This window comes from Homo sapiens, chromosome 8 (assembly GCF_000001405.40).
Source record: "Homo sapiens chromosome 8, GRCh38.p14 Primary Assembly".
NCBI classification, from domain to species: Eukaryota; Metazoa; Chordata; class Mammalia; order Primates; family Hominidae; genus Homo; species Homo sapiens.
The window spans coordinates 23308302-23323547 of NC_000008.11; the positions used below are offsets into that span (position 1 = coordinate 23308302).

The 15246-nt window shown below is 48.9% G+C and overlaps 1 protein-coding gene across 1 annotated transcript in view, besides 1 other annotated feature; it reads right to left on the reverse strand.

Annotated features, from left to right (window-relative positions):
- Window positions 1-15246, reverse strand: part of LOXL2 (lysyl oxidase like 2) — a 107224-nt gene that overhangs the window by 11405 nt on the left and 80573 nt on the right. Inside the window, exons 7-10 of the mRNA NM_002318.3 lie at window positions 13829-13980; window positions 11584-11751; window positions 8648-8813; window positions 1367-1610 (exon numbers count right to left, since the gene is read on the reverse strand). Coding sequence (NP_002309.1) covers window positions 1367-1610; window positions 8648-8813; window positions 11584-11751; window positions 13829-13980 — 730 coding nt within the window. The remainder of the gene's footprint in view (window positions 1-1366; window positions 1611-8647; window positions 8814-11583; window positions 11752-13828; window positions 13981-15246) is intronic.
- Window positions 11596-12161: an enhancer, noted in NCBI's record as "H3K27ac-H3K4me1 hESC enhancer chr8:23177410-23177975 (GRCh37/hg19 assembly coordinates)". NCBI's record gives its function as "activates a minimal SCP1, AML or CMV promoter by ChIP-STARR-seq in naive H9 embryonic stem cells {active_cell/tissue: H9 hESC(naive)}" and the evidence as "EXISTENCE:reporter gene assay evidence [ECO:0000049][PMID:30033119]".

Here is a 15246-nt window from a genome sequence, read left to right on the forward strand (position 1 = left end):
GCTGATGTGTCGGTCTGCCACGGGCCCTGGGATTGAGCAGGTCCCAGGCTCTCAGGTGGTGGCAGATACCTCTGGTCCAAGGACCTCACTTTGAGAAGCAGGGATGTGGTGCAAAGGCCAGGTTGTATAGATGGCCCATCCAAGTGTGGAGAAGGGCAATGACTAGGCCACGCCTGTAGCCCCTCGGGGGCTTCCTGCTTTATTTAGTGGTAGAGGCCTGTCTCCCTTCCTTTCCAAGGGTGTGCCTGCTTCTCTTCCCTCTACCCACCCAGTTCAGGTCTGAGCAAAAAAATCCCTGGACATACAGAGACAGCAGGCTCTGGATTAGATTAAGAGTCCAGGCAAAAAAGGGAAAACAAAGAAACAGAGGGAAGGTAAGAGGATGAGCAGATGGCTTGTGGTGGCTCTAGCCAGGTCTGGCTGTAGGATTTCACCCTGTTCTTCTGTCCTTGTCTGGGATTTGCAGCGCTGGGATCAGGTCCACAGACTGACAGAGCTGGAAGGGACAGGCGAGGTCCCAGGTGATGCCGCCCAGCTGACCTGACATCATGCAGCTCGCTAGAGGCACGGCTGCGTTTAGAGACCAGGTCTCAGGACTCTTGGGCCTAGACTTCAGTCTCCACACCCATTGTCTTCCTAGAGGTATTTAAAATACATACCAGTACGTGGAATATATATATATATATATATTTTTTTTTTTTGAGACAGAGCCTGGCTCTGTCGCCTATGCTGGAGTGTGGTGGCGTGATCTCAGCTCACAGCAACCTCCGCCTCCTGGGTTCACGCCATTCTCCTGCCTCAGCCTCCCAAGTAGCTGAGGCTATAGGCATCCACCACCATGCCCGGCTAATTTTCGTATTTTTAGTAGAGACGGGGTTTCACCGTGTTAGCCAGAATGGGCTTGATCTCCTGACCTCGTGATCCGCCCGCCTCGGCCTCCCAAAGTGCTGGGATTACAGGCGTGAGCCACCGCGCCAGGCTGGGAATATTTCTAAAGGAATTTAGAGTCCAGCAACTGCACAGCCTGGAGTACCTGGCAGCACACAAACCTGTGGACACACTTGGAAACCATGGGCTGAAGGTCAACGAGGAGGGTATGGGCGCTCAAAACAAAGTGTGTTTCCTGATGTTAGAAGCATTGGAGGCAGGAAGAAGGGTGGCAGGCCAGGGGAACTTGGAGTGGAGAATGGCTTCGGGAAATCTGACAGCCAGTGTGGCAGATGCAAGCCCCCCACTTAGGAGGATCCTATCCCCAGGCCATGCAGCCTCTTGGCTCTAAGTGACCCTGGCAACTCTCAACTCCCATCTGAGGCCTGCAGGATGTCCGCCGGGCAGCTTAGTGGGGAGGGTGGCCAGCCAGGCCTACCTGTGACAGTCGTGCCAGATCCACGCGTGGCGGCCGTTCTTGGGCCGGAAGTCGGACTGGCCATTGTTGTGGATCTGGGAGGAGAAGCGCAGGAGCCGGCGGTAGCCCGTGGTGGGGTCGGTCTGCGCGGCTGAGGCCGAGAGGCAGTTCTCCTCCATGGCACACTGCAGCATGAACATGGGCCGGTCCTCCAGGTAGGTGGTCTGCTGCACCATCTCCGCATTGAGGACCAGGTCAGGGGCGGCTGCGGAGGATGGCATGCTGGTCAACAAGGCAAGAGACCCCTCCCCAGGGCTTCTACTTCTGATTCTTGAGCTGGGACAAACCCCCTCTCCTGCCTACCGCCACCTTCTGGAATGACTCAAGGGCTCCTCAAGGTTACCTTCTTGTTTAGCAAGACCCTGAATTCCTCTTTTCCTCTGCTGTGAGTCCTCTTTGACAACTCTTCAGTTATCGGTGCAGATGAGCGAGATGTTAAAATCTCACACACCTGGTCCTAGGCTACGAGCGAAGCACAGATCATGGTACGTTAACAGATCCTGTGCCTCATAAGCACTGAATGTGAGTGATGAGCACGTGGGGGTTGATTATATTATTCTACTTCAAGTGGCTTCAAGTTTTCCATAATAAAATGCAAAAACAACAATAACGATGTGATTGTGCTACCCAGAGAGAAAGAACACCTCTAATACCTTGGTCTGCTGCTTCTGGGAATGATGTATTTTCCAACATGTATAATATTGTCTGTGGATTTATGGTGCACTAATACAGTTCCCCTTAAAATACATCTTCACATATTTTCACATTGACATATATCCATTACAGCACATTCATTTCATGGCTACATAAGATTTAATTCCTAGCTCTAGCTCATATTTTTAGATATATTGGCTGTTTGGAATTTTTCACTTACAAGCTGTGATAAATACCCTGTAGTAAATCTGTGCATATAACTTATTTTTTTCTTTAGAATATATCTCTGTAAGTGAAAGTGCTAGGAGAAAGCATTGTCTGTTTTTAAGTCTCTGATTCCTACTGCCAAATTGCCTTCTTAACAGGGTCTTCCAGGTTCCACAGGACACACTGCTGCCCCACAGGAGAGTTTTCCCCAGGTGCCTGTCTTTTACAATGCTTGATTTACTCAATTAGTGCACTGCACATAGCAGGTGTTAAAAGAATGACTGATGGCTACAATCTACGTTTACTAAACAATTGTATTAGAAAGCTTAGCTTCTTTGCAAAAGGATTAACTGTAGGCTTTACCTTTAAAAGTGAGCTTTCAGTGAACACTTCTAGTACACAGAAAAATGCCATATATGAATCAGTGATCACAAGATCCTGCCATCTTTTATTTTGACAAGTTGCTTGTAAATTTTTTTCCCCCTAGACTGCTTTGCAGAATTGCTTATAAATTTTAAGCAAGCAGAGTCTGTGAGTTTTGCTTCCCTCAAGTTCACCAGCACGTGGAGTGAGCTCTGTCTCCCTTCTCCCCCTCCCCCTCCAGGCTTACAGGCTGCAGCAGAGTCCAGCGGGTTCTCAGTAAACCCTGTGAGTTCACTGGCACCTGATGGAGCTGGCATCCTCTAGAGAGCAGATCCACTCGCAAGAATTGGGTGTGGAACCAAAGGGTAGGGAAAAGGTGCACACAGATGGCACATGGGGTGGGGCACGGAAGCCGTAAATCAGGAGGCTCCCGTTTACTGACAAGTATTTCTTCTTGGAGGCTACGCCAGGATGCAGCATTGCCCTACACCGAGTGTTCTGGGCACGCTTATTTTTATGAGGGTGTCATGTGAGCCTCTTATTAGTTGACAGCCCCTCTGAATACCTCTGAGCTGAGCATGGAGGTCTCCACTTGGGCTCTCCCGCCAGCTCGCAAGGCGAGGGATCGTTAATGTACCATGGTTTGTGCTTAGCTGGTAGCCTGAGATGTGCAATCTCAACAGCTGCCATGGGTTGGGGACTTGGCCTCCCCTGCATCCAGCAGGCAGCAGAACTCCTAGGTGGCATCCTCCCACCTACCCATGGCTCGAGTATTACGATGCTCTGTGCTAGGTTCTCTGGACAGAGCTGAGCAAGGCAGAGGTGGAACTACCCTAGACTAACAAGAGACAGACATATTCAGCACATAATAATTACTACTGCAACAAGAGCTGGCAGGAGATATGATGGGAATTGTAACGGGAGGAACCTGTCGGGTAGGTGGTCAGGAGGCTGCTTTGGGAGAAGTTGTGTTTTAGTTTTTCTCTGAAGGAGGAGTGGGGATTCGAGGAAGTAACACTAAGGATGAGGCTAGGGCAAAACAAATAGCCTGTGCCGAAATACAAACTACCATCAGAGAATACTACAAACACCTCTACACAAATAAACTAGAAATCTAGAAGAAATGGATAAATTCCTCGACACATACACCGTCCCAAGACTAAACCAAGAAGAAGCTGAATCTCTGAATAGACCAATAACAGGATCTGAAATTGTGGCAATAATCAATAGCTTACCAACCAAAAAGAGTCCAGGACCAGATGGATTCACAGCCGAATTCTACCAGAGGTATAAGGAGGAACTGGTACCATTCCTTCTGAAACTATTCCAATCAATAGAAAAAGAGGGAATCCTCCCTAACTCATTTTATGAGGCCAGCATCATCCTGATACCAAAGCTGGGCAGAGACACAACCAAAAAAGAGAATTTTAGACCAATATCCTTGAGGAACATTGATGCAAAAATCCTCAATAAAATACTGGCAAACCGAATCCAGCAGCACATCAAAAAGCTTATCCACCATGATCAAGTGGGCTTCATCCCTGGGATGCAAGGCTGGTTCAATATACGCAAATCAATAAACGTAATCCAGCATATAAACAGAACCAAAGATGAAAACCACATGATTATCTCAATAGATGCAGAAAAGGCCTTTGACAAAATTCAACAACCCTTCATGCTAAAAACTCTCAATAAATTAGGTATTGATGGGACGTATTTCAAAATAATAAGAGCTATCTATGACAAACCCACAGCCAATATCATACTGAATGGGCAAAAACTGGAAGCATTCCCTTTGAAAACTGGCACATGACAGGGATGCCCTCTCTCACCACTCCTATTCAACATAGTGTTGGAAGTTCTGGCCAGGGCAATTAGGCAGGAGAAGGAAATAAAGGGTATTCAATTAGGAAAAGAGGAAGTCAAATTGTCCCTGTTTGCAGACTACATGATTGTATATCTAGAAAACCCCATTGTCTCAGCCCAAAATCTCCTTAAGCTGATAAGCAACTTCAGCAAAGTCTCAGGATACAAAATCAATGTACAAAAATCACAAGCATTCTTATACACCAACAAGAGACGAACAGAGAGCCAAATCATGAGTGAACTCCCATTCACAATTGCTTCAAAGAGAATAAAATACCTAGGAATCCAACTTACAAGGGATGTGAAGGACCTCTTCAAGGAGAACTACAAACCACTGCTCAACAAAATAAAAGAGGACACAAATGGAAGAACATTCCATGCTCATGGATAGGAAGAATCAGTATCGTGAAAATGGCCATACTGCCCAAGGTAATTTACAGATTCAATGCCATCCCCATCAAGCTACCAATGACTTTCTTCACAGAATTGGAAAAAACTACTTTAAAGTTCATGTGGAGCCAAAAAAGAGCCCGCATCACCAAGTCAATCGTAAGCCAAAAGAACAAAGCTGGAGGCATCACACTACCTGACTTCAAACTACACTACAAGGCTACAGTAACCAAAACAGCATGGTACTGGTACCAAAACAGAGATATAGATCAATGGAACAGAACAGAGCCCTCAGAAATAACGCTGCATATCTACAACTATCTGATCTTTGACAAACCTGAGAAAAACAAGCAATGGGGAAAGGATTCCCTATTTAATAAATGGTGCTGAGAAAACTGGCTAGCCATATGTAGAAAGCTGAAACTGGATCCCTTCCTCACACCTTCTACAAAAATCAATTCAAGATGGATTAAAGACTTAAACATTAGACCTAAAACCATAAAAACCCTAGAAGAAAACCTAGGCATTACCATTCAGGACATAGGCATGGGCAAGGACTTCATGTCTAAAACACCAAAAGCAATGGCAACAAAAGCCTAAATTGACAAATGGGATCTAATTAAACTAAAGAGCTCTGCACAGCAAAAGAAACTACCATCAGAGTGAACAGGCAACCTACAAAATGGGAGAAAATTTTGGCAACCTACTCATCTGACAAAGGGCTAATATCCAGAATCTACAATGAACTCAAACAAATTTACAAGAAAAAAACAACCCCATCAAAAAGTGGGCGAAGGATATGAACAGACACTTCTCAAAAGAAGACATTTATGCAGCCAAAAAACACATGAAAAAATGCTCACCATCACTGGCCATCAGAGAAATGCAAATCAAAACCACAATGAGATACCATCTCACACCAGTTAGAATGGCAATCATTCAAAAGTCAGGGAACAACAGGTGCTGGAGAGGATGTAGAGAGATAGGAACACTTTTACACTGTTGGTGGGACTGTAAACTAGTTCAACCATTGTGGAAGTCAGTGTGGCGATTCCTCAGGGATCTAGAACTAGAAATACCATTTGACCCAGCCATCCCATTACTGGGTATATACCCAAAGGACTATAAATCATGCTGCTATAAAGACACATGCACACGTATGTTTATTGCGGTACTATTCACGATAGCAAAGACTTGGAACCAACCCAAATGTCCAACAATGATAGACTGGATTAAGAAAATGTGGCACATATACACCATGGAATACTATGCAGCCATAAAAAATGATAAGTTCATGTCCTTTGTAGGGACATGGATGAAATTGGAAATCATCATTCTCAGTAAACTATCGCAAGAACAAAAAACCAAACACCGCATATTCTCACTCATAGGTGGGAACTGAACAATGAGAACACACGGACACAGGAAGGGGAACATCACACTCTGGGGACTGTTGTGGGGTGCGGGGAGAGGGGAGGGATAGCACTGGGAGATATACCTAATGCTAGATGACGAGTTAGTGGGTGCAGCGCACCAGCATGGCACATGTATACATATGTAAATAACCTGCACATTGTGCACATGTACCTTAAAACTTAAAGTATAATAATAATAAATACATAAATACATAAATAAAACGAAAAAAGAAAAAAATAAAAATAAAAATAAAAAAGGAGAAAAACAACAACAAAAAACAAGTAGCCTGTGCCAGGCCCCTGCGGCACCACGGAGGGTCAAAGCCAGTGTGGTGCAGTCACTGAGGATGGGAGGGGGTGGCCAGCGAGGAGGCTGGACAACACAAGCCCCGTGCGAGCCCCTGGTCACGGAAGTGCAGTGGGACCCTTGGGTGGGATTTAAGTGGGACGTGGCCTTGGCTCTGGCTTTGGGGAGGGGAGAGGAGGGGAAGCCACCGCAGGGCCACGTATCACTGTAGGGATCTCCTTTGCAGTGATGCTGTGTGGTCATCTGGACACAGGCAGCAACAGTGGCAGGGAAAGACATACAGAAGGTTGAGAAAATACTGAAAGGTAAAAATCAAGAGGGACTGGACATGGGGGTGGTGGGGAAGAGGGAGAATCAAGGAGGTTGTGTAGATTTCTAGCATATGCAGTTGGTGGGGTGAGAATAAGATATTATGAAGGGTTGCCTGAAGAATTACTTTATTTCCCTGAATACTCTAACGTGCATTTAGCCAGAGCAGCCAAGAGCTGTGTTCCTGGCCCCAAAGCCTACTGCCCCGCTGCAGACACACTCCCAGTGATGCTTCAGCCTAAGCTGTGGAGCATTCTGAGAAATCGCCCCATGAAACTCATTTTTGGATCTCCCATGAGGATCTGACGGCATGGCTCATCTCATAAATCTCAGTCCTCAGAGAGAAATTCCCTTTAATCTCTAGAGTGGTGGGCTTCTCTTGACTCACAGCCATATTTCTATCTCACAGGTACTGTTAGTTATATTAATGACCAGTATTCTCTTTGCTCTGGCTGCTAGGAAGCTCACTGTGAAATGAATGACCTACTCATAATAAATGCATAGAACCCCCTAGTACACATTTGTAAAATTAACCCCTCCCTGGCTCCATTTTAAGCCACTACCATTTTGCCAGCACCTGTCTATCTTTCATCTGTTTTTATTTTATGCTATCTTGAATTGTATTTAGGTTTGTATTATCTTCATTTCCTTCTGGAAAAGATGGGATATTGCAAATATAAATAAATTGATAAATAAAGAAAAGGCCCCCGACAGGGAAGTGGCTGTTCCTCTTTGCTGGGATGCTTTCCCCCGGGGAGCTGGTAAGATGGTGATCTCGCCATCTCTCCTCTCACAAGGATGTGATAGCTTGTGATGTCTGCCCAGCGAAGCCTGCCCTGAGGTCCTGCTTTGCAAGGGCTAGGAGATGCTAGTGAGTCTAAAAGGGGTTGGTGGGAGACGCAGCTGCTGTTCAATCCCGCGTTCTCCGTGATGGCAGGATGACAGTGCATCTTTGTTTATGAAGCCCTTGCACATATTAATTGTCACACTTGATTTCTAATTTCTAAGGAAAACTACAACTAAAGACCACAGAGGCTGACACGCTTTTCCAAGATCAGCCAATAAGGCAGGGTCTGGTCTCAAGTTCTCTGGCCAGCACCTGGGCCTCCCAATGGAGATGGCTGCGTGTGGGTTTATATTACAAGGCCAGGAAAGGGAGGGCTGGGTTTGGGCTCAGGAGGGCAGCATTCCAAAAGGTTGTCTACTGCTCCTCTTCTCTCAGCATGGGAGGGAGGCTTCAGGAAGTGGGTCATCCTGAATCCTGGCTGGCATTCCCTTCTGTGGGCTCAATCTCTCTAGGACTCCCAGCGAACTACCGGGCAGCTAAGTGACCTCCAGGGTCTGAAAACAGGAAATGCTCTACAGAGGAGGTGGAGGGAGGAAGCCAACACCCATGGAAGATGTCATCGACCTCATTTAACTGGCATGACGGAGGCACTCTCAGTCATGTAGTCTGCCCTGGGTCACTGCAGTAGCAGTGGTCCTGTGACTGAATCCGGGCTACAGACTGCAGCCCCTCCCTCCCGCTTTTCTCCCCACTACATCATAGACAGCGATCTGTGGTTGGGGTGGCGGTCATCTCTCTTGCCCCCAGTTTTTCTCCCTTAGGATTTCATTCTACCTTCCTCTATTGCTTGGCTCATGGCAAGGCTTCAGAGTCTCTTGAGGAATAACTGGTGGGACTCTGGTCCCCTTGGGAGCCCGGTGGGGAGGGAGGGGAGGAGCTCTCACTTTCTGAGCAGGCAACTCCGGCCCCGTACTGCACTCCGCCCTGGGGGCAGGCCACGTCCTCCCCGTCGTGGCGGCAGTGCGCCAGGGACAGCTCCGTTCCCGAGCACTTCACTCCACTCATGACCACTTTGTTGCTGTTGACATCTCCGTGCCAATACCAGGTCTCCTGGAAGAACCAACAAAACAAATGGTGGGTACATCATCTCAAACTGTCACTTTCTCATATCCTATCAACTTGCAGCCTCACAAAAATCCCAATGTTTCATGATCCCATTTTTCAGATCGAAACAGCACGGAGGGTCACCTATCCAAGCTGTGCAGTTAGTTGGTGGCAGAGTGAGTGGGAATCCAGGTCTCCTGAGTGTAGCACTTGGACTCTGTCACTCTCTCCCTCAGGGAAGTAGAGCTAAGGTTGTGGTCAGACACTGCAAGGCTGTGTGTCAGGAATGGCAGGTGCACACAACTCAGGTTGCCCACTCCCCAGTCCTGATCCAGGGCAGACATTGCTAATCAATCACAGCACTCTCTCCTCTAAGCCCGAATAGGATCTCAGAATCCTTCTCAACACAGTGCTCCAGGAAGATGTTACTGGTTGATTGGAAGTGGTGGGAGAGAAGAAGAAATCTATTTGCATAGGTCAATCATTAGACATGTTATAAAGACGAACTTCTGAATTTAGACTTTTCCCCAGTTTAAAGAGCAATTAATAGAGTAGTTCTGCACAGAAGCTGAGGAGATCCGAGGCTTAGGATGCTGGGATTTATTTGGCCCCTTTGCTCTATGGGCCTTCGAAATACTGTTAGGATTTACTCTCACACTTCAGAGAAGTTTCCAGCAGAGAAAAATGAGGAGCAGAATTGGGATCGTCAGGTACAGAAACGGGATGAGAACACAGGTGCTGTGTTCCTCAGGTCTCTCGGGCTTGGAGGCTGAGGCAGGATTAGAGCTCAGGGAGGTCTTCTCGGGATCGTCAGAGACAGACCATCAGGATAGGAAGGGCCTTGGAAGTATTAGTATCTCATCTAAACTCTCCTGTGATGGTTCATTTTACGTGTCAACTTGGCTAAGCCACAGTACCCAGATATTTGGTCAAACACTATTCTAGATGCTTACGTGAGGCTGTTTTTAGATGAGATTAACATTTTAATCAGTAGACTTTGAGTAAGGCAGATTACCCTCCATAATATGGGCAATTCTTATCCAATCGGTTGAGGATCTTAAGGGGTAAAAAAAAAAAAAACCCAAAAAACCTGAGGCCTCCCAAGGAAGAAGCCATTCTGACCACAGACTGACTTCAGACTCTAGCTGCAACATCAATGCTTCCAGCCGGCTGGTCTACTCTGCAGACTTCAGACCTGCCAGCCCCATAATTGGATGAGCCAATTCCTTAAAAGAAATATCTTTCTTCATGCTGTGTGTGTGAGAGATATACATACACATATATAAACACACATTCATACATCCTATTGGTTGATAGCACACACACACACACACACACACACACACACACACAAAAATACACATTCATACAACCTACTGGTTTTGTTTCTCTAGAGAACTTGACCAATACCCACCTCCATCCTCCAGATGAAAAAAATGAGGACTTGAGAAGGGATGGGGCTTGTAATCAGTGGCAGATTTGGTACAAATGTCAGTCCCAGGCCTATTTCAAGACCCCAGCTGAGGCCCAGGTGTCTTAGGAATGAGCTGACTGGGAAGAAAAATATCTGGTTGAAGACTCCCTTGAAATGTGGCACCGTTTTTCCACTCTCCTTGGAGATTTAGAGAGTGCCCTGGCTTGTCATAAACAATATTAGCAGAAACACTGCGTTGCCTGGGGAGGCCAAGCTCCCAGAGGGCGTAAGCAGCTATTTTAAAGGCCTGTCTCTTCTGGATGCCGGAATGAGGAGCCACAGGGCAGGGGATCCCAGGCAGCTTCTGCTCAGGGCTCAGGACCTCCCATTGGAGCAACCTGGGACCCACCCAGCCCATGGGAGACAGTCAGGCTCAGTAAGGATGCAGGAATTCTCCTCTTCTCTCCCTAAACCCCTTTCTTAGGCCCCAAGAAGGACCACTGGGGAAGGAGAGCTGGAGTCAGGGTTAACAACACAAGAGCAGGGTCTCCAAGCATCTTCCCGTTATGTAAGCTGCTTAATGGAAGTGTTTACAACCAGGATACTGAGGTCTTGGGATTATTCATTCCATGTCACAGGGAGGACAACTGAGGCAGGGAAGGGTGGCTGCTTTGCCTCAGACCATTACACAGCCAGCTGGTGGGAATGCGTCGGGATTAGACCCAGAGCCTCCTATTTTGTTGCTGCTCTGTGATGGGGGCGGGAGGGTGGGAACTAGGACCAGAGCTCAGCTGTTCTCAGCTGAGTCACTCTCTTTGGAGAGGGGGCAGTGGGAGGAAGTGCAGCTGATGTGACAAGGCTTGGAGATTCCCTAGCGTGTCAATGGGAGAATGCATTAGGCACAGATGCCAGCGGGGAAACGTGTTCAGACCAGAGCGGGTTTCAAGGGAGCAAGCTAAGGCGTTTAGCGGGGGTTGAGCCTTGGGCTGGGGGTCACCACCTCCCCGAAGGACTGAGTTGGTTCCTTCTGCACAAGGCACATCAGGAACCCCCAGGATCAGTCTTGAGCCCAGGGTGAACCCCAGTGTGCAGAGCAGGAGTGGACCATGAAAAGCAGAGCCCAGCCCCTCGTTCTGCAGCCGAGAAATAGAGGCAGAGATGGGAGCGACCTGCCCGAGGACTCAGGCCTGTAAGGAGCAGCGCTGTGGCCAGAGCGAGGCTCCCTGCCTCTGGGTCCAGGGCAACTTGCTCTGTCCTGCCTGCACGGCTAGGGAGGGTACGTGGGAGAGGGGGGCTGACTGAAGACAGTGTGGTCAGACTGCATGGGGGGTGAATGCGGGGTCTGAGGCCGGGGCTTCTCACCTGGAAGGCGTTGCTGGCGAATCCCAGGCCCAGCTGGCGGCAGACCACCATGGCCTCCACGATGCCCCAGTTTTGGCCACACACCATCCCCCACACAAGGGACCCGTTTCTCTCCACCAGCACCTCCACTCGGCCCTCGTAGGGATTGCGGCCGCCGTTCAGGCGCAGCTGCAGACACAAAGGCAGGCCACGGTCACCAAGAGGGACAAGGGAGCTTCCCCCCTACGCTGCCATCAGCCCCAGTGTCCTGGAGTCCTAAGCCAGGTGGTGCTGCCCGGGACACACTCAGATTCAGCAGCACCCTTGGGAGCCCCCGGTGGCAGCGCTGTGCCTAGCATGGTCTTATAGTGAGGTCCCCACCCCAGGCACCCTAAGCAGCTGGGGAGGCCCTGTGACTCCACTGAGCCCCACAGCAGAAGCTGACCCTGCTCCCCATGAGCCTATCAGTGGGGGGCTGCTCTTTGGGAGGATGGTGCCCTCGGGACCTTGACATGTTGGAATCCCACAAGACTCCTGCCTGGGCACTTTTCTCTTTGCCACATCCCCTACCTGGCGGGTTCCAGAGCCACTGGCATCTTGTCCCATGGCTCTCCTGCTGGTCTGAGGCCCACCTAACCAGCTGCCTGTTTGACAACCCCACTTGGTATCTCAGAGATCACAAATCTGAACTTGCTGTCTTTTCTCTTTACCCTAAATGACCGGGTGTGGCCATGTTCCGATACAACTTTATCTTAAAAAAGAGGCTGGGTATGGTAGCTCATGCCTGTAATCCCAGCACTTTGCGGGGCCAAGGTGGGAGGATCACTTAAGCCCAGGGTTTTGAGACCAGCCTGCGCAACATAGTGAGACCCCATCTCTACAAAAAAATAAGTTTAAAAAATGAGCCAGGTATGGTGGTGCATACCTGTAGTCCCCGCTACTCGGGAGGTGGGAGGATCCCTTGAGCCCAGAAGTTTCAGGTTGCAGTGGGCTATGATCATACCACTGCACTCCAGCTTGGGCAACAGAGCAAGACCGTCTCAAAAAACAAACGAATAAAAAACCAGGAGGAAGGGTGGGCTTGGCCACATATCATAGTTTCTTGGCTCCTGAATCTGCTGTTATTCAAGCCAGAAACAGAGGAGCAATTCTTGACATCTCCCACTCTCTTATCTCACATCCTGTCGGTCTTCACCTGTGGGTTTTATCTCTCGTCTCTCTCCAATGCATCCACTTCCCTCCAGTCCTTCCCTACCCTCCCTCATCTCTTGCCTGAGCCAGAGCAGTGTTCCTGCTCTAGGTCCTAAAGCCAAGGCAAGTCTCAGAGGCTCTGGCTGCGGAATGTGGCTGCCTCGTTGCCTCTGGGGCCAGGAAAACACATGGTCACCAAGGGCACCTGCCAAGGCTCCAAGGCGTTAAGGCTTACCAGGCCCGGGATGGCCTCTAGGACAGAGAGAAGGGTTTGACTGTTCTGGAAGGAATCTGGACACTTCATGCACTGGGGGGCTTTTCTCATTTTCTAGAGAAGACTGGAGCGCACAGTGTAGCTGGCATGCAGTTCTAACTCAGCAAAGGACACAGCTTGCCATTCCCAGAGCCCCACGTAGAGCGTCAGCATCCTGGTAACCGTGTGGCTTTCTGGTGAGCGGGGTCTGACCTCACCAGTGACAATGGAGCGTATGGGACCTCATGGTCAGCCAGGAGCCTCTGTCCTCACCCTCTCCACCTCCTCACCCAAGGAGGATGCCAGGGAAGGTCAAGCCCTTTCCAAGTCTCTTAAAACAGCCCAGGCATTTCCCTTTTCCTGTTCCTTTGGTTCTCAGTGGCAGCAGCACAGGGTTTTAAAGAAGGGAGCGAAGTGTGTGGCAGCCCAGTTTTTTTCTGAACATGAATAGAGGAAAGAGAACGCCTCCAGCCAGCAGAGCACAGCCAGGCTGCACCGTGTTTTGATAAGGTTGTGGCTAGCCGGTCCCACGCCTGTCTTTGGAGGTGGTGGGGCAGAGGTGAGGTAACTCACCTCAGATGTTAACATGCAAGGAGGCAGGGCCTTTCCAGCTCACACTGCACACAGGGGCTTGGGCCTGCTGCCGGGCCAGGGCCAGGCCCGAGGTTCGAGGGGGAACTAAACATTGCAAATGCCAAGTGGCAATGTCTGCAGCAGTACTAGCAGCAGCACCTGGTCACTTCCAGGGTTCACCCCAGAGCTCTGTGGCTATACTTTCTGCAGCCTCAGTTACAGTCCCCTCTAGGTGTCCAGTCCCATCACCTTCTTCTGCAAGCCCATGGCAGGGGTGTTGCATCTCACACCAGCATCCTCCTCGTGGTTGCAGCCCTGAGACTCGGCATTGAACTTGCAGTCTATAATGGACTTCTCATTGCCTGTGCACTGGATCTCGTTGAGGTGGATGGGTCCGATCCCTGCAAGGGGAGAATAAACATGCTCTATGAAAGCTTTGGAAGGAAACTTTCTGGAGTGGCAAGAAAGCCCTGGACAATAAGAACATGCCTCTCCCATCCTCAGAACTCTCCCCACTGCCTCTTGTAATCAGCTCAATGACCCAAGCCTCTTCTCCCCAGAGAGAACAGTGCTAATTCTCTTGGGATTCACTTATCCCCCAAGAGCAAATAAAGTTTGCTACTGATTTGCTGTGTGACCTTGGCCGATCACTCAGCCTCTCTGAATACCAGTTTTCTCTCATCCTTTTTCTAGTCCAAAGGAATTGGACTAGAAGTTGTATAAGTTTCCTTCCCGACTTTAATATTCCATGCATTTATGAATCTCAAAGGTACAACTATTGCTGTATCTGTCAAGGGTCCCTGCAGGAAACAGATGGCATGTACAAATTGGATTGAGTTAGAAAAAGGGATTTTAAAAATAAAGGTATGGATGGAGTGAAGGGAAATCACAGAGCACAGTCCAGTACTCAGGAGCTAGTGACACAGGCATAGATACCACGCCCGTTACCCTCTGCCTCCCTGCTAGGGGCTGAGGATTCAAAGATGGGTAAGGCAGGCCCCTGCCCCGAAGAGCTCCCAGTTCCTGGGGGAGGCAGAACTTACACAAATGCTTGTGATATGACATGGTCAGTAACAAAGATGAAGGTCACAACAGGTGCTCTGGGGCTTAAAGGAGGGCCCTCGACTCTGCCGGAGAGTTCTGGAGACAGCTGGTATCCAGGCTTACTGAGGCCAAAAACCAACTTCTAGATCAACCAATATTATCAGGCAGGAGCCAAGTTTCTATTTCCTTGGAAACTCATAAATGATGATGCTTCCAATTCTTTGGAATTTTATAAAATGCATAAAAATGCATCGGTGATGGTGGCTGGAAGCATCGAAGGACTAGCATGGAAAGGCTGTGACAAGGCACCGATCCTAATCAGAGCCCAGGAAGCAAGCAAGGCCCACAGCTCATGGGCACAGAGACAGTCAGGAGAGAAAACCCTATGTTAGGAAAGAGCAGAAGGTTCTGTCTGGGAAACAGCTGGGCTGATCTGGTCCAAACGCCCACGCTCTCCTCCCTCTAGGGAAGCCCTCGCTGTCTCCTGCCTCCTGCACTGTCCTCTTTCTGCCTCCACCTAAGGAGAAGCCTGCCTTGAAGAAAAACCTCCAGCTTCCTCCATGGTGCAGCTTGAAAGACCTCCCACTTGTCTGAACTTTTGCTTTTTACACATCTTGCTCAAG